A 26,000-nucleotide genomic window follows, 5' to 3' on the forward strand; every position below is an offset into this window, starting at 1 on the left:
GAGACCAACCTGGCTAACACGGCGAAACCCCGTCTCTACTAAAAATACAAAAAAATTAGCCAGGCATGGTGGTGGGTGCCTGTAGTCCAGCTACTTGAGAGGCTGAGGCAGAAGAACGGCGTGAATCCGGGAGGCGGAGCTTGCAGTGGGCCGAGATTGCGCCACTGTACTCCAGCCTGAGCAACAGAGCGAGACTCCGTGTCAAAAAAAAAAAAAAAAGATGCAGACTTGATATCTCTACACATATTTTTGAGAGGAAAGCCAAATCAACCCTCCAAATAACACATGGAGAAAACACTAAATAACACACGGAGAAAACAATGTGTATATTAAACACTCACTTCTTAGTGGTTCCATTTCCGATGCCAAGATCTAGGAAAGGAGAAAAACAAAAAAGCATTTTATAACACGAGACGCAGTTTAATAAAACAACATAAAAGAAGATTAACGTATCCAAAGACTACTTACTGCCCACAAGGTTGGCTAAAGATGAATCCAAGTCATCAGATACTAACTTGCTAGGTGGGAGTTTGGCAACAGGAAGGTTCTGGTTCTGAGAGGCCACTGTTGGTTTGAGAAGTCCACCTAGTTCATCAAAGCCTTAAAGTTACAAACAGACGAAATAGAATTTGTAAGGAACTTTATGACGCTATGGTTTTCTAAAGGAGGTCTTTGCCTTTTCTCCTTGTTTATTCACTGGAAAAGTTATCCAAAAAATAGACATTAGTAAATGTCTTTAAATGGAAAATGAAGAAAGTCACCACTTCATACTGAATTGACTGAGAAGGCTGTATTTGCTTTGACAGAAATCATCTCTTATCTCATGACAAAATTACATTAGGGTTAAAGGGGATAAGAGAGAAGTATTATAAAAGAGAAAAAAAACAAATGTAATTCTCCTGCTAGCCCAGCAAAATTTTCTGAAGACTCACTTATATCTAAAGCAATATAGGTTAAAAAATAGCTCTCTGGAACTTTGAAAAAAGTTCCTTTTACGTTAAGAAATAAGATTTTATAGACTTTTTTTTTTTTTTTGAGACGGAGTCTTGCTCTGTCGCCCAGGTCGGACTGCGGACTGCAGTGGCGCAATCTCGGCTCACTGCAAGCTCCACTTCCTGGGTTCACGCCATTCTCCTGCCTCAGCCTCCCGAGTAGCTGGGACTACAGGCGCCCGCCACCGCGCCCAGCTAATTTTTTGTATTTTTAGTAGAGACGGGGTTTCACCTTGTTAGCCAGGATGGTCTCGATCTCCTGACCTCATGATCCACCCGCCTCGGCCTCCCAAAGTGCTGGGATTACAGGCGTGAGCCACCGCGCCCGGCCGAGACCTTTTTTTTAAAAGCAGAGAATGTAAGAGTGAACTATATCTAAGAAACTGCTAAATACTGTAATTGTATAAGCCCATCTAGTAAATGAGAACAATTCTTAAAAATGAAAATAAAATTCTTTAAGTTTTCCTCACCAAATTATAGAAAATAAAAGAAAATCCAATCAAACAAACCCTCTATGGGACTCAATAGTATGATCTAGGAATATTACAGTTTGAAAAAGAAAGTCACCAAAGATGATAGTTCACAACAATGATTGGTCTCTCTTTCCACTTTCCCAGGCAAGACAAACTAAAACCTACCGCAGCAAAAAAATATTATCATAAACCTACTAGTGCATAGAAAAAAATAAATTCTTAGTCCATACATATTCTTTATAGGCTTGCTTCTTAGTTTTTGAAGGATAACTAATTATATGTTATAAAATTAAGAACATCTCAATATATTCTCTCTAAATGGCTAAAAGTTAATTACTAACCAAAATCAAAGGCCATCCGATGGTAAGAACAGAATTATGAGTGTCAAAGTTTTACAGGCACTTCAAATTAACAAGGTATTAATGAAAACACAAAGTGGAAACCTGGTTCTACAGATCTATAAAGTTCCTTTAAGACAAATGAACCATAATAAGAATCATTCATAAAACAATAAAAAGCTCCTGTACCCACAGGCCTGATTATTTAATACATTCTAATTGTTTATACACAGACTATTTAAACAAGTCAAGGTACCACAAGTTATATTATTCTAGTTTACAAACATAGCCAATTTCATACATTAAGAGACAATACAGTTATTATTCATTTCAGTAAAAGTAAAAATTGTATGCCTAAAAAGGCACAACATCTACACATAGTCACAAGCAACTTAGCATTCTACAGAGCTAAATCTCTTTTTCTCTCTTATTTTGCTCTAGGACTAACTCACTCTTCCCAAAGTCTAAATTGGCACCAATAAAAGAATAATGACTAAACAGCTCCTTGAAGTTCTCATCTAGTGCTTGGGGGGATGGGACAATTTCTTTGGCTACCCCAGTTTAATATATCTAAACATTTTAAAAGCAGCATTATTTTTCCTTACACAGAATCTAAATTAGGACATTATAATATTTTTAATAAAATTTTTTTTCCTTACCCCCAGAATCTACAATAACATTTGTAGATTTATTTCCAAACACAGATTCAAAGTCAACATTAAGGCCAGCTGAAGGGTGTGGCTGTGCAACTGGAGAAGGAGTGAATCCTGAGTAAACCAAAATGGAAAAAAGCTCAATTATTTAATAACTCTACATTTACGACTATTTAATAATGATGACAATAGAATGGAAAATGCACTAAATTCCCCACACAAAAACAAAGCCAATCCTTCAAGCAAAATGTTTTCTATATCACATTTTTCGCAGTGATTGCGTTTTCCCTAACAAAATCATCCTACTGACAAAATTAACAAATGAGCAACTCACACTGAACTGAAAATATGCTTCATTACAGAAATCTTTGCTTATCTTTTACCTTAATTTTATATGCAGATAATCTTTAAAAAACTAAACACATCTAAAATTACAAGATTTTGCATGAAGCAAAACATTTAAGGGATCAGCTGAGAATGCAGTAAGAATTCTGTGGTGCTTTAAAAAACAAGTATGAAACTTCTAGTAGCCCCAAGATAAAAGTTTTTCTCCCTCCCACCTACCCATTTTCCGTATTTCTCTCCATCCTTCCTTCAACAGTTAATCAAAAGCGAAATAGCTTAAGTTCAGTGATGGGATTCTGAATGTTCCAACTCACTAATCCTTATGTCCACCTGTATCCATATGCTTTTAAAACATCAAAGAAAAAAGATATGCCACTTTCAACTCTCAACCACTCTCTAACTTCAACTTAGTACTTGCAACAGTGGGGATGACAAGCACAAACTCAAGCATACTAATTAAGGTGACTCTAGTTTTGCAACACAAAACCATTAACAGACCTTATTCTTTCTTGCCTGCGTTACACTAATGCTAGTGGTATTACACAGACAATAAGCTCACATCTTTAAGATCAGCCTATACAGAGTTAACAAATATAAGATTTCCAATTATGTGAGGTTATATTTAAGTAAGGTTCTGAATGTCTAGGGGCTGAAAAGAATTAAAATCCCCTAAAAATATTAGGTCTGTCATGTGATTTGGAGAACTTTCAATCATTGAGTATATCCAAATAAATATCAACCTCACAAGGATCACAAAGAAGAAATTATTTCACCTCGTGGAATGTCATAAGGCTCCTAAGGTCTCTTCCTTTTCTAAATTCTACTAAGTCAGAATATAAAAAACCCAAGAAGCAAACAAAAACCACCTATATTAGAAGGTTAAAAACTACACCATTAGGGAGAAGTTAAACTTTTGGTGTCCTAAATTTAGGATCCCTTTCTTCCCCTCCTCTATTCAGGTCAGAATCTCACTTTGAATTCTTAATGTGTAACACCAGGACATAAAGTATAATGATGTCATGCTGTACTAGAGAGACTGATCTCAAAGAAAACTGTAAAAAGTAGGACAAGATTTGGTGAGATGTCCAAGAAGGTCCTCAAAGACAGAAACAACAATTTATTATTAGCAAAGAACCATACAAGCTGATCCACACTAATGATACTACTTTAAAGTAGCATTTTACACATCCTATAATGACTATTCTGTAGCGCACACATTTTTAGAGAATGTACCAGTTTGATCTTGTTCCATAATCACGTAACCCTTAAACTACTATTAAGTCAAAGACATTGGTCATACAATGAGAACACAAAACACTATCAAAATACGAAATAATTTAGTATATAAATCTTCTGACTATTCATCAAAAGGATCTGAGAATCCTAGACTTACCAATTTAATAATATTTTTAAGTGTGCAAGGTGTTTAAGAATTATGCCATCAGCTTATTGGTTGTTCTCTTAACTCTTTACATAAAAAGCGAATGTATCTACTCAAGAAAAAAATCCATCATGCTTAATTATGTGTCCATGCTATCATCAGAGTGTAAGTAGTACAAACAATGTTCTTTAAATCATTCTGGTAATAATCTTGGCTATTGATGTCACTAACTTTTAGATTATATATGGAACAACAATTTAAAATTAGGCCAATATATCAAATTCCCATTTTCTCCTGCTACTTTGCCTCAGCCTTCTAGAATATGATTGATATAAGAGATAAGCCTATCCTTTATAGTCACACAGAAATTACTTCATTACTTTCTGTAAAAAGAGGAGCCATCTCCTGAGGTGCCTAGAGGTACCAATCTGTGAAATTATGACATAATTACCTAAAAGTATACAAGGTTAGAAAGACTATAAAGTAACCCAGAACTTGTATCTCAAGTTTTAAAAACATCTATAAACAGAGGGAAAAAGTAAAAAAAAGTTAAAAAAAGAAATTAATAAATTGCAATAGCTAATCGGCTATTAATATTTGCTTAAAGTCACACAGTTATCAGGGAGGCAAGCAGTTTATTTCCAAATTTCCAAAGTAAAAATCTTTTAAGTAATTACTGCATGCCTGAAACACATACACCAACAAGGTTAGAGTTTTACATCATAATTTCAATGCACATTATCGACTTTTTGTGAAACTATCAGGACTGCCAACTTTTAATTTTTTTTTTTTTTTTTTTTTTTTTTTTTTTTTTTTGAGACGGAGTCTCGCTCTGTCACCCAGGCCGGACTGCGGACTGCAGTGGCGCAATCTCGGCTCACTGCAAGCTCCACTTCCTGGGTTCACGCCATTCTCCTGCCTCAGCCTCCCGAGTAGCTGGGACTACAGGCGCCCGCCACCGCGCCCGGCTAATTTTTTGTATTTTTAGTAGAGACGGGGTTTCACCTTGTTAGCCAGGATGGTCTCGATCTCCTGACCTCATGATCCACCCGCCTCGGCCTCCCAGAGTGCTGGGATTACAGGCGTGAGCCACCGCGCCCGGCCCTCGCCAACTTTTAATTTTTAAAAGTTATTTAAAACAAAAAGACCCAGCTAGTATCACTATTCTAAAAGAGAAAGTTTACAGAAATACACACACACACATACACGCGTGCGCACATGCTAAAAAGAGCAGGCGCTGAGCTCTGAGTTAAGGTTAACTTTATGATATCATTACATTGTCCTGCTTACTCTTCCATTTCACCAAGGCCCAGTGAAAACTTTCTCACTAACCAGCACCAATCCACAGTTTATCATTTAGAAACCACTGGCCTGCAGGTTAAATCTCAAGAGGACAATAATAAATTAATTGAAAAGTACAAGATCAACAAGCTTTGGGGACAGAAAGACATTCCAAACACCTTTTACAAAATTTGGGTGGATTGTTAATTGATTTTGGTGGTAGTTTCACAATAAATTAGGACTCATACTTTTTTGTCAAAGTAACTACTACCATTTATTAAACACTACTAAGCACTAAGCAAGGGCTTTATAAACAGGGTATTATTTAAACCTCACATAAACCCTATGACATAGTTATTATTATCCCTGTTTTACAGATGAGGAAACAAAGAGAGATTACATAATGTACCCAAGGTCAAAGATTTAGTAAGCATCAGAACCAAGACTTGAACCCCCATTTGTTTGATTCTAGAATCTATTAGGGTTTTCAGTTTAATCCCAAGTATTTCACCTTACATAATATAGTAAGTAGAAAAAGAAATTTTTTACTATTGCTATAACTATTATTAAAAACAACCCAAATTTTATGAACTTCTTGAGCTTTTCATTGCTAATATTAGACCAAAAAAAGTGAATAATCTTTGGCAATTTTAAAATCTAAAAGCAATAAAGAAAAAATCAATGTTTAGGATTTTAGTTGATGACTACATAATAATTTAGGTGAGAAGTACATTCTAATTATGATGTGGTCCACATATACAAGAATTTTAAATTCTTTAAATTTTCTGAGAGATAGGGTCTTGCATGTTGCCGAGGCTGGCCTCAAACTCCTGGCCTCAAGCTATCCTCCTGCCTCAGCTTCCTAATTAGCTGGAATTATGGGTACCAGCTACTGTACCCAGCTCCCGAGATGGTTTTTAGTAGTAGTCATTTTGATACTTTTATATACCTAGCAAAGTGCTAGATGTTACATAGTCATGTATGTAAACTTCAGGACAATCCTGCAAGACACTATTATCCCAACTTGCATAGCCTTAAAAAGGTTAAATACTTGCTTAAAGTCAAGTTCATGAAGCAGAACTAAAATTCAAACCTAAGTTCACTAGGCTCCAAGCATATACCATCAAATGCCCTAATAAATTCCATTTTAAAATACATTTAGTCCTGTCCAATTCTTGTAATCAAGAGCCTCAATTCTTTAGTTGTGTCAAACATTCTTTTTAATGCCAACTTAACTACAGTAATAACTACTATGCACACAGAAAATATCAGCTGGACTTTTGAGGTTTTATTGCTACCACACTGGCCTTGAACATATGTGGAAAGACATAGATAATACAAAACTTCAGATTCCATAACCTTGTAATATTAAAACGTTTTCATGCTTCTGAAAATTTAAGGTTTTGAGAATGGAGTAAAGTAAGAAGATGATAAGCAACTATTCATAAAACCACCAAGTGTTTAATTAAGGCAAATGAAGTTAGGCAAAAACTAGTGTGTTCTCTGAAAGCAAATAAGTATATTTTTTCTTACCAAGTTTATAAAAACTCATTTTAAGAAAAAAAAAATCCTTCCTGCATAAATAAGTTGTAAAGATACTGTTATCTAGCTCCAAATGAGCTGGCTACAGTAGAAGAAACAAGGCACATAAAGGAAGTATTAGGACAAACTTAAGTGACACAAAAAATTCTGACAAGGCATACAAGGCAGGAAGGCAGGAAAGGAGTAAGGAAAGGGAGAAAAAGAGGGGAAGGGGAAGGAAAGAATCAGGGAAGCAGCTAGGGAGGCACGTGAGGAAGAAGAGGAAGAAGAGAAAAAAAAGAAAGAGAAGAGGAGGAACAGTTATGAGTGGGATGGGTAATCAAGAAAAACAAAAAATGGGGGGAGCCCAAGCACTTGGCATTCTTCAAATTACAACTTGCTAAAAAAAGAACTTAAGGCTCCATGAAGTATTAAAAAAACATATTCCGTTTGCATAAATTAGAAAGAAAAACCCAACACTGTATCTCATTAGAAAAGAAATATTAGGCAGTTGGCTTTTTAGCCAACACTATCGTGTCCTCTAATGTGTGGTTTTACAGCTAAGAAAGCAAGCCTACACACTTTCACAGACACTCACATATGCAGCATAGTTAAGACCACGACTCTCCTTTATGTACAATTCAGTGTTCTTAAAGCTTCAATGAGGACAAGCTACCTATTACACTGATCATTGTATCAGATAAATGTCTTCCCTCTGTCAAGGTCAGAGGCTATCTAGATACATAGCTCTTCTGATTTTTCTGGATTGTTCTTAATCCTATAGAGTAAGGGCTGGCAACTTGTATCAAAATGACATGAAGGAATTACTGCAATGAATTATCACACTTTGGATATATATGTGTTTTAAGCTATTAGACTAGTCATATTTTTACAACACCTGACTTGGAACTTTGTCTGATCTACTAACTTGCTTTCTAGTTAATTCTTCCTTCTCTTCCTTCCTCTCACTTATATATATCTAAGAGAATATTTAGAATGTGGTCACATGATTTGTTGAGGGTATACTGATGACTTTCTGCATGCTGTTTTAATCAAATATTTAAATTCACATCACCGTTAAGCTGTTTCTCTGAACTGAACAAAAGAAATTTCATCATCTTTGGGGCTGAGGGGGAGCAGAGTTAGCATCTTTTTCAGCAGAATTCAAAAACATTTATTTCAGCTTCAGCATATACTTTAAAACTTACTATTCCCTATATAACCTCAGTGTGAAATTCTGCCTTTTTATACTGTAATTACAGGATATCCAAGTCGTGTTTCTGCTTTACTATTTAAAATGAAACACATACTTCCTACTTTTATCTCCATACTATCAATAAAGTGAAATCCTTCAGAATGGGATAAAAGATATGCATAGATTTTGGACAATATAAAACTGTGACGTGCAACAGTTAAAAGAGAAATAAAATATTAAAGATAGCTGCTAAGAGTGATTAACCACCCTCTCTCCCAAGCACAAAGAGAAAAATATAATCACATATAAACATGTAAGTTTAAGTGATGTTACTTTTCAACCAGTTCTCCAAACTAAAACAGGAAGCTGCATGTGATACTAGACAGCTAGAGTATTGCACTATAACACGACAGAGAACCAAACACCAAAAAAAAAAAAAAAAAAAAAGTTCAACATCAAGAGAAATTTTCCTAAAAGTCTGTATAAATAAAATTGGGATACCAGTGTCAATTTAAAAACCTCACTACATTATGGCTGGTTAGTTTTAGAATTTGATATTAAAATCTAAAGTAACTATTGCAGTGCTTTTAAAATAATTAATGGACACGTAAAATATAGTTAGGCAGTATAAACATTGATTGGAAAAAAAGGTTAAATGGTACTTTACCAACAAACATTTCATGAGTAGGTGTCCTAGTAGTAAAAGTAGATACATCTGAAGAAATGGAAAGGTGAACATCACCACTACTTTTTGTGAGGAAAGGATTTAAGCTTGGAATGGCATCATCAACAGCATCTACAGTAGCAGAGAAAGGATCTGTGCAGTCCAAATGTATTATAGCAAAATGAAGAAAGGAAGTAAATAAATTAGTATTGTAATTAGTCAAAAGATGCAAAGTGAAAAGTAGTAACTATATTATTGTTTATTAATCTTAAATATCTAAATTATCAAAAACAAAAAATACCTAATCATCAAGATAGAAGAATTGCATTTAATATATTTTTAAGTGAATCCTTAGAAAAAATCCTTTTATTTGTTAACACCACAAAGCCAACAGTCAGGTAGTTAAAAAATGGAATAATAACCAAGATGTTTCTATAAAGAGCCACCCATCTTGCACCAATCTTCCCTGTCCTAGGTGAGTGTGCTGGTCGTGGTGGTATAGCTGTGTTTACTTGAATAATTGATATTGACAATTGGTATGTGTGTTGTGAGTAAACTTTCAAAGAAAAAAAGAGGGTAATGACAAATTAGGGCTAAGAAGCTGTTTTTGGCATGTGCAGATAATTCCTGCATAGATTCAAAATAAAAAATAAAGATGAAGAAAAAAATCTAAGGATGGGGGAAAGAATTTTAGATAATTAAGAACAGAGATGAAAGAATGTCCACTTAATAGACTGCGAACACCTTTGAATGTCTATCTAAGAGCTTTAGTCTTTAAATGAATTGCTAAAGGAACAACAAAAGTGTTGTTTGCCTACTAGAATGATATAAATATGTATTATATCAAATCCTTTATCTAAAGTTATTCTAGAGTCAGATAATTATTATACTGATACCTTATTCAAGATAATTATCATTCTAATGACTGAAATCTATTTTTCCTTACTTCTCAAGATTTAAAGAGCTAACTAAATGGGGAAAGAAAAAATAAAAAGCAGCAAAAATAGTATAATTTTTTCTTTGTAACATAATTAAAATAAGAGGATACTCCTGTAATTCTCAACAGTGGAATCTTCTTGTCTGTTCTAGTTTAGTTCTTGACCTTCACTGAAATATACTGTGGTATCTTCATAGTACTAGGTACTGTATTTTACTCTTAAGATTGTATGATTGAACATTAAGAAGGCAACAGTGGCCTAAGGACCAGCTCATTTACTATGATATAGGCACACTTCCTTTAAAGTCAAAAAATTCAAGGCAAGCATTCTACAAGCTCAAATACAACTGTCTGAAAAAGGAAAAAAAAAAATCAAGAAAATACTCAGGTTATGATTTTAAAAACAACACATCTTTTAAATACAACTTTTTCTGTAGTAAGAACTTTTCTATATAGTATTCTTATGGAACATCAATTCACACTAAAAAAAAAAAAGTCCTACAAATCTATCAAAATATGCTGATTATGCTATTCAAACTCGAAATCTTTCCCATCATTCCACCCCCAATAAATGGAACACTGGGAAAAAAGAATCAGAAAACAGTAATTCAGAAATAGAAACTAGAAAATAGTTAAATAGTTACAAGAAGTTGCAGGGGGGCACGGTGGGTTTTTTTGTTTTCTTCTTTTTGAGAGTGGGTCTTGCTCTGTTGCCCAGGCAGACTGCAGTGGTACAATCAGAGCTCACTGTAGCCTCAAACTCCTGGGCTCAAGTGATGCTCCCACCTCAGCCTTCCGAGTAGCTGAGACTACAGGCATGTGCCACCATGCCTGGCTAATTTAATTTTTGTAGAGATGCTATGATACCAACGCTAGTCTTGAACACCTGCCTGGACTCAAGCAATCCTCCTGCCTTGGCCTCCCAAAGTGCTGGGATTACAGGCATGAGCCAACAAGGACATTGGTTTTTAGTACTAAAAATATATATATATTTTAGCTAATATATATACTGATGGCCACTCTAGCTTCTTCTTGCATAAGAAAGGAGTTGCATTAAGCTTACAGTTGGCCAGTTAGGCTGAAAGTTCTGGGTGTGTTTTGTTTTTTTTTTTTTTGAGACAGAGTCGAACTCGCTGTGTTGTCTAGGCTGAAGGGCAATGGTGTGATCTCAGCTCATTGCAACTTCCGCTTCCTGGGTTCAAGCAATTCTCCTGCCTCAACCTCCTGAGTAGCTGGGATTACAGGCGCGTGCCACCACGCTCAGCTCATTTTTCTATTTTTAGTAGAGACGGGGGTTTCACCATGTTGGCTAGGCTGGCCTCGAACTCCTAACCTCAGGTGATCCACCCGCCTTGGCCTCCCCAAAGTGCTGGCATTACAGGCATGAGCCACCACACACGGCCGAATGTTCTGTTTTTAAATACATGATATTAACAGCTGCATAGAGTTTTAAAAGTACATTATATTTTGTCAGACAAGTAAAATATCTGTTTTTCACGCAAAAAAAGCCATGAAATACGTAATTTTTTAAAGACACATTATTTCTGTAACAGATCCATTGGTTTATGAGAAAACACATGTTCAGGAAAGGTTACCAGTCATCCGCTGTTCTACTGACAGATAGGTTTTATCTAGCACCTAATTTCAATCACTTCCTATTACGTGAAACACCTTAGAGAAGAATATTCAGAAATATTTGCAAATGCATTCATAATTAGATCAATCAGATAAGGAAAACCAGTTCCTAATCTACTTGACAAAACACTACAGGTAATCTACAAGATGTTAATCTATTAATGGACATTACACTATAATAATAAAAACCAATTCATTAAGGTATAATAATAACGCTCCAGCTATTTCAAGTTAACCTATTAAACTGGCAATTCGAAATCCCTTAAAGTTTTTTTTTTTTTTTTTAAATAAGAGTCTTGCTCTGTTGCCTAGGTTGGAATGCAATGGCATAATCATAGCTTACTGCAGCCTCGACCTTTCTGTGCTCAAGCAATCCCCCCACTTTAGCCTTCTGAGTAGCTGGGACCACAGGTGTATGGCACCATGCCTGGCTATTTTCCGATTTTTTTGTAGAGGCAAGGTCTTGCCATGTTGTCCAGGCTGGTCTCGAACTCCTGGGCTCAAATAATCTGCCTGTCTCAGCTCCCAAACTGCTGGGATTACAAGTGTGAGCCACTGCACCCAGTCTAAAATTTTTAAATATAGTTTTGTCCCTTTTTTTTTCATTATTCATTCAAGTTTAATTTTTTCATTTTTTTGAGACAGAGGTTCGCTCTGTCGCCCAGGCTAGAATGCAGGGGCATGATCTTGGCTCACTGCAACCTCTGCTTCTCAGGTTCAAGCGACTCTCGTGCCTCAGCTTCCCGAGTAGCTGGGATTACAGGTGCACACCACCACACCCAGCTAATTTTTACATTTTTTGTAGAGATGGGGTATCACCATGTTGGCCAGGCTGGTCTCAAATTCCTGACGTCAAATGATCCACCCACCTCAACCTCCCAAAGTGCTGGGATTACAGGCGTGAGCCACCACACACCTGGCGCAAAAGTTTAATTTTATGCTACACTAGAGTCATCTAAAAAAATCCAAAAAAAGTTAAAACAAGGATTAAAATGGCACCACAGTCATATTATCGCCTTTAAGTCCTAAACAACTGATACCTACATTCACACACACTAAACTGATTTTTTTTTTTAAACATGGTAGAGACAAGGTATTGCTATATTGCCCAGGCTGGTCTCAAATTCTTGGGCTAACGCAATCCTCCTGCCTTGGTCTCCTAAAGTATTGCAATTACAGGTATGAGCCACTGCACCTGCCCAGATAATCAAATTTTTTCATCAAGTGTTTTGTGTTTCATGCCAGCTAAAAGTAAAGCAAATTAAACTTCAGAATGGATAATTCTATTACACCTAAACTAAAATCTGAAATCTTGCTTCAAATATTCAACAGTGTACCAAACTGATAATATTGTATATTTTTAGATATAAAAATTCAAAGTTTGCTATCATCCAAAATTTTCAGGGTGATGAAAACCTAGGTCTTCTCAGATATTAGTATTCAATACCGACTGCTTGTTTAGACTCCACAACATTTGTTGAAAAAGTCAAGGCTCATTAATAATACAATGAGGCCAACAAGAGAGCTTGTGTTCTCCCATTTTCATTCTACCAAAAGGTAGAATCTTAAATGTCTTTCATATATACATATAAACTTTTCTTCCCTTTATCTCTATCTTATCACTAATCTATGACTAGGAATGCGCATCATTTCTGTGGTGTTTAAAAGAACTAAATTAAATACTACGTCTGTTATTGGCATTCATTTTTAGCTAATAAAAGCCAATAAAAGAACAGTACAAGATTTGGGGATTATGAAAAAAATCATACCTTTGCTTTGTCATATACTATAACAGCAGCATTATATGTAAAATGTTACATATTTAAGTGTTCAAGTAAATAGTTAACTTCAAAATACCTTAAGCATTTAATGTTATGATCTAAGCTTCTCATACATGAGATTTCTTTTCTTTTCTTTTCTGTCTCCCAGGTTAGAGTGTGGTGGCACAAATCTCGGCTCATTGCAATTTCCGCCTCCGGGGTTCAAGTGATTCTCATGCCTCGGCCTCCCAAGAAGCTGAGATGACAGATGTGTACCACCACACCTGGCTAATTTTTGTATTTTTAGTAGAGACAGGGTTTTGCCATGTTGGCGAGGCTGTTCTGGAACTCCTGTCCTCATGTGATCTGCCCACCTTGGCTTCCCAAAGTACTGGGATTACAGGTGTGAGCCATCGCACCTGGCCTTATATGAGATTTCTTTATTTCAGTCTAAGTTTAAGTTAGTTTAGTCTAACTTTAATTTTAAAAATTAAAAAAAATATATCGATCTGATTGTCCTGGATATGAGTACTGACTTGAATTAGAACTTTCTTGGCTTAAAGTACTCTTCAGTATCATGCAGAAGTCAAAACCTTGTTTATCACCAACTCAGAAGCCAAATATCCTTATATGAAAGTTAAGACAGGATTTAATTCTGATTAATTTATAGGACTTAATATGGGGGAAATTTTTACAGAAACAGCATACAAAGCAAAATAACCGAAAATAGAAAAGTAAAACATGATTAAATGTATTCCAATATATTGCAGTCTGTCACATAGAGACTTTGATGGAATAATGTCTTATAACAGGACATAGAACAATTCTTACAGACTGAAATTACTTAGAATTGTTCTTCCACAGTAATAGTCTATCTGCTTTCATATGTGACTTTAACAAGTTCAAGTAGAAACTTCAACTTGTCATTTTTAGTTGTACATGGTGTCCAGACAAAACAGGAATTGCAGTTCAGCTTCTTTGAAATGTTTAATATATTTTTATTTGGCCTTCTATAAAATTTTTAGTCTATTTAGAAAAACAACTCAGCCTTAGTTTTAAAAAGACTACTACATTTCTTTAAAAAAGGAAATAAGCTGAAACTGCTTAAATGGTCATGTTAATTCTACTAACCTTTTCTAAAGCAATTCACAATAAGGCAGAAAATAATTAAGAATCCAAAAATCAGAACATAACATTAGGATATTAAGAAACTGCTTTCTTAATCTTAATTTACTATCTATAGTTCATTCTGAAATAATTCTAAAATACTTAACTTTAAACTATTAATATCTTGTCATTTTTAGGAATTACTCTCAGATCTTAAAACTTAGCTAAATTAAACTAGCCTTCAAAGTCAATTAGTTTTTTAAATCAAGTTCAGGCTCACAAAATTACCATGAAATCTAGTGTTTTAGGGTTTTACTATCTGCTCTGTGCCCCACCTTATTCAACAAACATTTACAAACTACTTGTCGGAACAAAATATTTTAAAACCTGCCTTCACAGAGCTTACTTTCTAGGATATAGTTCCTTCAAAAAAATAATTTAAAATGTTCTTAAATTCAAATCATTAAAATAAAATGAAAAAAAGCTTTGTTTATATACTATAAAAACTCATTAGAATAATTAACTTATCTTGCTATGAGAGATAAGCCTATCACTTCAGAACTGCTTAAGGGCAGCAAACATTCTTATTGGTACAAGGGGAAAATTCTTTGACTAGCAAAATCTTTCAGGTCTTAATTAAAAAAACATTTAAAACATTTATGTCTTGACCATAAAGCTGGTCGAGACAATTATGGTCACAACATGTTCCCTGTGTGATAATACCATCTGAGTTTTATTAGAACTATATCATATACTTAACACAAAGATAAGTTATTCCCCAAAAGTTAAAAAAAAAAAATTCTACACCAAAATCGAAATAACCACCATGCATTTTCTGGTTATGGAATAAAAATTCAACATTAAAAGAATAATCTCATAGTTAAAAACACACTTGGTCCTTCCTCTTACATTTAGTTTTATCTTTATTAAATGTCATTTCATAATTTAATTGAACATAAATTCCTAAATTATTTATAATAAATGAACATACCTTCAAGGGATAAAATTGCTTCATTGCCATTTTAATACTTATCAAGTTCTCATGTATCAAGTGTAATAAAAAACTACAAATAAGTAAACACCACAGAATGAGGAGGAGAGATGCATGTAACATCTAAAATAGAATTCATCAATGCTTACCTCCCCATGTACTTGCTACCTGAGAAGCAGTTGACATAGGATGTACAGATGGGTGAAAAGTTGGCTGCTGCAAATCAAGCAGATCATTGGGCAGCTTTGATGTGCTAGAAAGATATTTTGGAAACGTGTTTTATTTACCAGAAAAACTTTGCTACTTTAGTGTCACCTTCTCCACCCACCACAGATAAAAACATTAAAAACAAGGGAGAAAAGTCTCATTAATATAAATCTCAAAAGAGGAACAGTTTCTTCATATGACAGCATATTTCTAAGGAGGCTTGGAAAAATAATCTAATATCATATCTTAAGTTTATATAAGATTCAAAGAACAGTAGCTCTTCTGAAAAGGATGAATGTCTTCCCCTAGAAAAAACTAATTTCCCTATTAAAATGAACCTAAACAACAAGATTCTAAAATACAAAATATCACAGCAATTTTAATATTTTTAATAAAACTCTTTTCTTACTTTTAATATTCACAGAACTTGAATCACATTTGCAATACACTACACAGTAAAATACTCATTAACCTCACTTCTAGTGCCTCAGTGTCCAAACTATGTATCAATGATACAGGGAAAAAATTTTACATGCATTTATGAATAGAGCCACCCCATCACACAACACACTATTTACATGATATATTTCTTTCTTCTTTTTTTTGAGACAGAGTCTCGCTCTGTCGCCCAGGATGGAGTGCAGCGGCGTGATCTTGGCTCACTGTAACCTCTGCCTCCCAGGTTCAAATGATTCTCCTGCCTTAGCCTCCCAAGCAGCTGGGACTACAGGTGCGCAGCACCGCATCCGGCTAATTTTTGTATTTTTAATAGAGACAGGGTTTCACCATGTTGGCCAGCCTGGTCTCAAACTCTTGACCTCAGGTGATACGCCTGCCTCGGCCTCCCAGAGTGCTGGGATTACAGGCGTGAGCCACTGTGCTCAGCCTCTTTTTTTGTTGTTGTTTTGCTTTTTTTGAGACAAGAGTCTCACTCTGTTGTCCAGGCTGGAGTGCAGTGATGTGATCTTGGCTCAATGCAACCTCCACCTCCTGGGTTCCAGTGACTGGCATGCCTTAGCCTCCCAAGAAGCTGGGATTAAAGGTGCATGCCACCATGCTTGGCTAATTTTTGTCCTTTAGTAGAGACAGGGTTTCACCACACTGCCCAGGCTGGCCTCGAACTCCTGACCTCAGATGATCCACCCACCTGAGCCTCCCAAAGTGCTGGGATTACAGGCGGGAGGCACCATGCCTGGCTTACATGATATATTTCTACCTCAAGACTTCTATGTAATTTTTTTTATTTGAGACAGAGTCTCGCTCCGTCGCCCAGGCTGGAGTGCAGTGGAGCGATCCTGGCTCACTGCAAGCTCCGCCTCCCGGGTTCATGCCATTCTTCTACCTCAGCCTGCCAAGTAGCTGGGACTACAGGCGCCTGCCACCACGCCCGGCTAATTTTTTATATTTTTAGTAGAGATGGGCTTTCACCGTGTTAGCCAGGATGGTCTCGATCTCCTGACCTCATGATGCGCCCACCTCAGCCTCCCAAAATGCTGGGATTACAGGCATGAGCCACCATGCCCGGCCGACTTCTATGTGATTTTAATGAACAACTCAAAACATGACCCCAGAGTGTCTAAGAATTCAAACACAGTACAGATAATTTTTTTAAGAGAAGGGGTCTGGAGGCTGGGTGTAGTGGCTCATGCCTGTAATCCCAGCACTTTGGGAGGCTGAGGCGTGCGGACTGCTTGAGTTCAAAAGTTCAAGATCAGCTTGGGCAAAATGGCGAAAAAATACGAAAAATAGTTGGGCATTGCGGAGTGCGCCTGTAGTCCCAGCTACTCGGGAAGCTAAGGCAGAGGGAATGCTTGAGCCCAGGAGGTTGAGGCTGCAGTGAGCCATGGCTGTGCCACTGCACTCCAGCCTGGGTGACAGAGTAAGTCACTGTCTCAAAAGAGAGAGAGAGATTGAGAGAGAAACAGACAAACAGACCAAGAGATGTTGCCCAGGCTAGCTTGTACGGCTGGGCTCAGGCCTTCCTCCTGCCTCAACCTCCTGAGTAGCTGGGACAACAGGCACACGCCACCACACCCAGCTCCTAATTTTTAACTTATATATTCTCCAAAATAGAATGTTTTTCTTTTTAAATGGATATACAATAATTGTACATATTTATGGGATACATATGATATTGTGATACATGCATACCATGTAATTATCAGGACATCTATCACACCTCAAACATTCATCATTTCTCTGTGTTGAGAACATTCTAAATCTTCTAGCTACTTTGATATAGGTAATACAATTGTTTTTAATTAGTAATTCTACTGTGCTATCAAACACTAGAACTTATTCCTTCTAACTGTATTTTTATAAAAAAGTTTTGAAGACATGTCTTTTAGATGTACAATAGTTGTGTAGATAGTAGATATAAACGCATTTAGTGCTTTGGGGAACATATAGAATATACAATAATAATTCTGTAAATGGGCTGTAAGATTTGCCCTTAATTACTATTAAAAAGGTGAAAATTTTTAGTATGTGACATAAAACATAGTGAAATTAGTTCTTTATCCAATAATTTGTTTCAGCCTCGAACAATGAACATTCTTTTCACTTCTTTCTCCTAGGACAGACTTCTTTTCAAGATCTCCATGTTGAGAACTTGCCCCTTAATGGGGTCAATGTTACTTAACTGGGGATTAAAGAAGGTAGCATACATGAGCAAACAAATCATAAAGCTGAAAGAAAAAAAAGAACTAAATTCAACAAACACCTACTAAGATTTCAGGGAGCAGGTAGCAACTGAGCATGCATACAGCAAGCAGTTCACGTAGTAAAACTTACACTGAGCTATTAGGCTCAGCTATTAGGAGTCAGTAGGCAGGCAGATGAGCTTTTAAGGGTGAGTTAATAAACAGCAACAACAAAGTGAAAGGAAAAAACTCACCACTCTCTATGGAACATTTAACATGTGCTAATAATGCACTGTGCTAAAACCTAGTCACCTGGGAGCATCTTAAAAACAAAAATTCTTGGGCCCCAGGCCCCACCTACTGAATCAAAACTCTAGGATTGGGACTCAGATATCTGTAGTTTAATAAACTCTCCAAATGCTTCTGATGTTAAAGTTGAGAACCACAGTCTCATCTGAAAACAAGGTTTCTCAAAAAAAGTTAAGAACTAACAGAGCCAGGATTCAAACCAGAATCTGACTTTTAAAACTACTTTAAGCCACTCTGAGGTTCAGAAAATGCCAATTGTTTTACTTTACCTGGCAATATTATATTTCCATGTTAAGTAGCTTAAATTAGACAACAAGATTATTAAAGTTAGTCTGGTAGGCTTCAATACCAAGAAACCTGGCAACTAAACTCTGTCACTGTGTTCCAGATTACAGAGTTTAAAACCAGGAAACAGATATGACAGACGTTTAATATCTAATGAAATGGTATTTTGAAATATATATCATATCCATATGTCAAAGAGCTATAAAGGGTCTTGAACCATTAGATGCCTCATAAATGTGTTTAATCATAATTTTTACACAATGAAAAGTTGGCCCAGAGATAACAGCTATATTCCTATTAGTATAAATCAGTGATTTAACTATCTTCCATTTCGTAAATACGTAAAATATAAACTCATCACTTTATCTTTAGGTATTATACCAATATCACCATTTATCGCCACCTCTTTGTGTGAATAGATTATAAAAGCATAAATAAAAGTAAACCTGAAAAGTTCTGCAAAATTTCTATTAGAAGTCTTTGAACCTACATATTCAAAGGTAACCTTAACTTCTACTCCTACCTGTTAGAAGAACTAGGGGTAGAAAATATGTCAATGGCTGGTGCAGTCATTATCCCTCCTGCTGAGGTGGATACAGGAGAGGCTGCAGTTGTTAAAGAGGTATGAGGTTTCTTTGCAAGTTCTTTTAGGCGCTGTTCCTGTTAAGAAAGGGAACTACCATAAGGATTCCAGAAACCAGATTTCTTTGTACAGCCTCTGAAAAAAGCATTTTCTAATTTGTTCTGATAGCAGATATTCTGTTTTACCTAATTCTATGTCAGGACGAAAAGTTAGACTGAGTTTCAGCCCATTAGGTAGCTATACATTTAAGACTCTAAGTCTGTGCAGAGGCCCCATTTACCTAATGAACACCTGTACTCATTTTTCGAAATAAGGAGAATGCACAAACTTACCTTTAAAGCTTTCAAACGTGCCTGTTCTTCCTCTAATGCTGCCTGCTTTTCCCTTTCATCCACTTTGGTCAGAGATAGACCAGTGCTTGCCAGGGAAGACACTGCATTGGAAAGTGTAGTTGCCCTAGGATAATTGAACAGAGATAATTTGGCTTTTTGCTAAACACTTCACATTACACCCAGGTCATGAAATGGTCTGGCAACCTTGCCATGGATAGGCACTATAATTATAAACTTAACTTCTGGATTCAAATCCAGTACTTCAGATGAAATATTCTACCTAGTGATCTACAGGATTAAAGCAATTAGAAAAATCTTGACTTAATATACACTCACTGCTTTCAGAGTAAGTGTTTGACTTTGGAAAGGGTTCACAACAGAGTGGGGCACATTGCCTCTTCCAAGCCCCAAGAGAGGAAACCAGTGCAATTGGGAAAGAGCCCACATAATCCCACAAAATCCCTGATGGGAAAAAGTGTTGAGTTTATCACAGGGAAAACCCTCTGCTAATTTACAGCCTACGTTTCGGCAGTGCCACAGGAACACCAAAACATGCATACCAGTAACACGTAACGTAAGTCTAGGTATGTTTCACCTATAACAACATCCCCAGAGGACTTCAGGTTCCTTCAAAAGAAGACTGGTTTCAATCTAGTCATCAGGCCATTTGGCATCTTTCTATGTGCTGCCCTTTTGCCAAACCAGAATTTCCTTTTTAATATACATGTACAATGTATCATTTTTCACTGGCAAGGCACCTCCTTTCCCTTTTATCAAAAACGTATCCACACTATAAACCTCAACATTAACTTTCCAAATGTTAACTCTAGGCTAAGTAAAACAAGTGGTAAAGAATTCTAACCTGAAGAACTACCTTGAGCTTTATTAATTTTCCTTTTACCACACACCAAACATCATTAGTTTCTACTCTTAAGCACGTAAAGTGGTAAAAACTACCTTTTAAATTTTATGTAATATTAGTATTATAAATAAGCCAATAAAAAGGTACAATTCAGAAGACAAAGGAAGAATAACATAGTTGTGACAGAAATGCAAGAAAACCAATAAATTTTATGATAAACATTTCAGGTAAATTGGTGCACCTGAACTACGTGGCTCTTTTTTTCGTTATTCTCTCAAATAAATGAGACTTATTGTTTTGACTGCTACTTCGAAAATCTTACTAGAAAATTCAAAGTACAAATCTAGGATTAAAAATGAGTACTAAAATCCAATAACGGCATTTCCCTTTGGAAATTATTTAAATTTTATTACTAAAAGAAAGATCAAAAGTTCTGAAACAACCAGAAAGTCTAAAAAGAACCAAAGGAAGGTTCTCACTATACAAATTCTTTCTTCATGCTGTTTTAAAAAAAGGTTCATAAGAAAACATGAGAATAACTCAAGTAATTTCTTAACCCAATACAAAAATCATGTTACCAGACTGATATGAAATGATTTCTGTTACTTTCAATTTGCTAGGTTAAATGGTCTTAGTCTGAGGAATTAGCTTAAAACATAATAAAGTGATTAAAATATAAAATATCAATAATCAACCCCATGAACTGGCATTAGGCAGAGATGATGCAATTTGATGTCAGATATTCTAGGTTTGAGTCCCAGCATTGCTACTACATACTTCACAGGGCTATTGTGAGGATTGAGCAAATTAATACGAAAGTATCTTGCAATTATAGGCCTGGCACGGTGGTTCATGCCTGTAATCCCAGCACTTTGGGAGGCTGAGGTGTGCAGATCACTTGAGTTCAGGGGTTCGAGACCAGCCTGCTCAACATGGTGAAACCCTGTCTCTACTAAAAATACAAAAATTAGCCGGCCGTGGTGGCATGCATCTGTAGTCCCACCCTTGGGAGGCTGAGGTGGGAGAATCGCTTGAACCCAGGAGGTGGAAGTTGCAAGTGAGTTGAGATTGTGCCACTGCACTCCAGCCTGGGCAATAGAGTGAGACTCTGCCTCGGGGGAAGAAAAAAAAAATGTATCTTATAACTACAAAGCACCACATAAAACAATGCATTAGCATCTTTAGGAGAAATTTTGACATCATAAACACAATTCTAAACTATGCAGTCACTGTCATTATCTTAACAGATGCTGACATTTATTGAAGGTCAGAAACAATTTCAAGAATTTGCATGTATTAATCCATTTAATCCTAATACTAATTCTATGAGGCTGATATTATGATTAAATCCATTTTATAGAAAATGAAATCAAGATATAGAGAAATTAAACAGCTTGGAACTTGAGCTGGTTTCATCTACTGCCTCAGAAAAATCACTCTGGCTTTTTGGCCTACAAAGAATGATATACCTGCTTGCAGCTGTAGAATCTTTGATTTTCTTTCCTTCCAAGGAAGCTAAATGTTGTTCCAAAGCATCAAGAAGACTGCTAGGGGCCTGCAATTGTACAAATATTAAGAATTTCATGATAATTAGGCCACTGGTCAAATTAAATCAAGTATCATCTAATTAGAGAGCAACAAAAATAAACAGGTATGTTCTTCATGTACTAATTAACAGTGGAGTTTTAGCTACTTAATAAGAATGACAATCTTACTTTTGTTATACAAACGTGACCTAGTTGGAGATATTAAGAAACATTATCAAAAACGTTAAGAACTGAAAACTATGTAAACATGAAACATTTTTTAAAAATCTTGCAAGTACTTAAATTTTAAAGTAAAACCATACTCCTAAAAGCTCGACATACTACTGAGCATGCAGAAGGTACTTAATAAGCACCTGATGAGCAACTGAATGTGTTCAAACATGACTCTGGAATAATTACTGATAAATGACACTGAACACTGTCATCAGGGAAATGAAAATGAAAATCACAATGAGATACACCTTTTCACTTACTACAATGACTAAAGTTAAATACATCTGCAGTATCAAATGTTGGTGAGCATATGGAACAACTGGAACTCTCATATATCACTAGTAGGAGTTTATCACCTTGAAAATGGATTAGGTTGTTCTTTACAAAGTTAAATACACACCTACCTTAATGACCCAATTCCATTCCTATTTACCCCAAAGAGATAAAAACTTATCTCTGTAAGAAAAGACTTAATGTTTAATGTGGCTTTATTTACAATAGTCAAAAACTGCAAATAATCCAAAACTCCATCATTTGGAAAATGGATAGACAAAATTGTGGTAAATATTATTCAGCAATAAAGAAGAATTAATTAATGGTATATTCAACAACATAGATCTCAAACAATACGATGAGCAAAAAAAGCCAGAATGCAAAAGTAAATACTTGTATGATTACGCTTATATTAAGAACCAACAAAATTATGCTATTAGAAATCAAAACAGTGACTGTGGAGGTGGGTAAGAAGTGACTGGAAGGGGGCATAAGGATTGGGGAAATAGAATTTTCCTATCTTGAATGATGTGTTGGTTACATAAATGTTTATTTATCAAACTGCATTGAAATGAATACTTACGTTTTTTTTTTTAATGGAAGACTAATTTTAAACTCAGGCTATAGGTCAAATCTCAACTTAATATGAAGAAAGCTCTCAAAAGGAAACCTTTTCAGTGTGCAGACTAAGAACTGTCCGCTCTAAGTGAAGCAAATGCACCAGTAGCATTTACTTACCCTAAATATTCTATAGGATTTGAGACACAGTTTCTGGATACAGGATCTAAAAATAGTTAAAGGGGCAATACCTGCTAATTTCTCTATCATTGATGGCTTTAACAACTTCTTTCATCCACTATTCCCTCTATATACCAGGACCCTAGCCCAAGGGAGACACAGTAGAAAACCATTTAAAACCAAATACTACATTGGAAGATGAACTTCTTTGTTGAACTGAGAGTATACATACACTTTCAAACAGCCCCAGCAAAAATGTTTGCTAATCAGCAAGCAAAGCACTGTCTTAAGAGCTTTCAGAGATGATAAGGAGGATGTTGATGATAGTGGTTAACATTTAAAAAGCTCTTCTCACACAACAGGTACTGTGCTAGCTACCTTGTAGTAGTCACTGAATCTATGAAGTAGACACTACTGGTATATCCATATTACAGATAAACAACCTGAGACAGTGAAGATTAAGTAATCTGTCCAAGATCACATATCTGATACACAACAGAAGCCAAGATAGGGAAGGTATCTCTGACTTTAAAGACTACATAATTAACTACTATGGTACCAAATCCTGGACTGAAACTGTGGTCATAGAAACTGTAGTTTATCTTTTTTCTGAAGGGTTTAAGCTGTGGCTTACAAATAAAAATATTAAACTACCAAGTTATGATTAGTAAGACAAACCATTTCTAAAATCCCTTCTAAATATATCTGGCTATTTTTCAAAAGTCAAATCCACACGACAAAGAGTGAGGAGGCTGGGCACAGTGACTCACACCTGTAATCCCAAAACTTTCGGAAGTAGATAGAGGTGAGATGACTGCTTGAGCCCAGTTGTTTGAGACCAGCCTGCGGAATATAGGGAGACCCTGTCTCCACAAAAAAATAAAAAAATTAGTTGGGTGTGGTGGCATATGCCTGTGGTCCCAGCTACAAAGGAGGCTGAGGTGGGAGGATTACTTGAGCCTGGGAGGGTGAGGATGCAGTGACCCATGATTTTGTCAATGCGCCCCAGCCTGGGTGACAAAGCAAAAGCCTATCTTTTCTCTCCCTCCCCCAACAAAACCCAAAGAGTGAAGAAAATGTGATGCTTTACACCTTAAAAGAAATTACCAAAAAAAAAAAAAAGAGTAAATAATCTCAAATTTTCACTCTTCTGCATTACCACCATCGTCCCTAAAGTGTAAATAGCTTTGTTTTGTTCACTTTTGAAAATTTTCTGAATCAGCCAAAGAATGCCTGGCAAGTTACCTTTGCTCAGAGATCATCAATACAGAGGAAAAGAGGAACGGAGGTTAAAGAACCCTACTCTAATTACAATAGGGTGAATATTAACATACACAGATACATGATGACGGCCTGTAACTTCTACATCTAGCCTGAGGACAATGATTTTTAAATAAAACATAAGGGAAGCATAACAAATGGGGTGGGTAACAGGTGAATCTAAAGTTGCCAAATCATTTTATAATATACGTTATTCAAGCAATGACTTGTCTCATGTTCAACCCAGAATCATGTGCTTGCTCTTAATAAAGCCAATTTATTTCAAGTGGACATATACAGGATTCTTTACTTACATATAACCCATGACTAGATTTATTGCATACTCTTAGCCTTGACATTAGAGGGAAGAATCAGAACAAGTGAGTACAGAGAAACTCAATAATAACTGTTAACAAGGCGTTTAAAAGATGTACTGGAAGCTGGGTGTGGTGGTTCACGCCTGTAATCCCAACACTTTCGGAAGCCTAGGCGGGCAGATCACCTGAGGTCAGGAGTTTGAGACCAGCCTGGCTAATATGGAAAACCCCGTCTCTACTAAAAATACGAAAATTAGCTGGGCGTGGTGGCTTACACCTGTAATCCCAGCTACTTGGGAGGCTGAGGTGGGAGAATCGCTTGAACCCAGGAAGCGGAGGTTGCAGTGAGCTGAGATCATGCCACTGCACTCTAGCCTAGGCGACAATAGCAAAACTCTATGTCAAAAAGAAACAACAACAAAAAAATGTCCTGGAATAATTCAAAACAAGGTAAAACAGATGTCAACAAATGAGAGAGTTGATGGAAATGTTACAAGGATAGCTTATGCCAGGTACTTTCATTCTTAATACTCCGTAAAGAAAACAGAGAATCAGCCAGAACAACCAGCAGGTATGAAGTTTTTTCCTAGAAAATTTTTTGATGATGATGATGATAAAGACAATATTAAAATAGCAAACATTAGTTGAGTGTGTTTAATGCTCTAATTTTTTTTTTTGGCATTAACTTATTTAATCCTGTGAACTACTTACTGTCTGAGGTAGGTACTGTTGTATCTTCATTTTACAGATGATGAAACTGAAGAATAGAAAGTAACTTCCCCAAAGTCACAGGGCCAGCTAATGGCACAGCCGGGACTGAAATTTCGACGTATCCCAAACCCTACTCTCTTAATCTTATGTTTTGTGGTTTATCCCTAAATTAATACTCCCACCTGAGTCAAACAGTCAAAGTGGAAGTTTAAAACAGGAAAAATAAATACTGGATAATTCTCTACCAGCATTATAGTGAAAATTGTTTTTCTAAATATCATTTTCTAAATTCAGGTTCCAAAAAGTTTTTTTTTCCTTTTTTAAACAATGATGATGGGAAAGAAAGAGTGATTGAAGAGATTAAATAAATGGTATGACAGTGGGTAGGCAACAAATATAAGTGGTAAGCAGATCATTTTACGTGGTCATAGTGTTAGAACAATCTTCA

At 36.0% G+C, this 26,000-nt stretch overlaps 1 protein-coding gene across 31 annotated transcripts in view; it reads right to left on the reverse strand.

Moving 5' to 3' along the window:
• Positions 1–26,000, reverse strand: part of PICALM (phosphatidylinositol binding clathrin assembly protein) — a 112,686-nt gene that overhangs the window by 24,229 nt on the left and 62,457 nt on the right. For 6 of the 31 annotated variants that reach the window (XM_047427660.1, XM_005274337.4, NM_001411034.1 and 3 more), the window contains exons 9-16: positions 21,963–22,048; positions 19,632–19,755; positions 19,240–19,376; positions 15,423–15,526; positions 8,847–8,996; positions 2,463–2,570; positions 469–600; positions 342–372 (exon numbers count right to left, since the gene is read on the reverse strand). In XM_047427660.1, coding sequence (XP_047283616.1) covers positions 342–372; positions 469–600; positions 2,463–2,570; positions 8,847–8,996; positions 15,423–15,526; positions 19,240–19,376; positions 19,632–19,755; positions 21,963–22,048 — 872 coding nt within the window. The remainder of the gene's footprint in view (positions 1–341; positions 373–468; positions 601–2,462; positions 2,571–8,846; positions 8,997–15,422; positions 15,527–19,239; positions 19,377–19,631; positions 19,756–21,962; positions 22,049–26,000) is intronic. The other 25 variants (XM_047427666.1, XM_047427668.1, XM_017018387.3 and 22 more) reach the window with 6 other exon arrangements.

The sequence above is a fragment of the Homo sapiens genome, chromosome 11 (assembly GCF_000001405.40).
Source record: "Homo sapiens chromosome 11, GRCh38.p14 Primary Assembly".
NCBI lineage: Eukaryota > Metazoa > Chordata > Mammalia > Primates > Hominidae > Homo > Homo sapiens.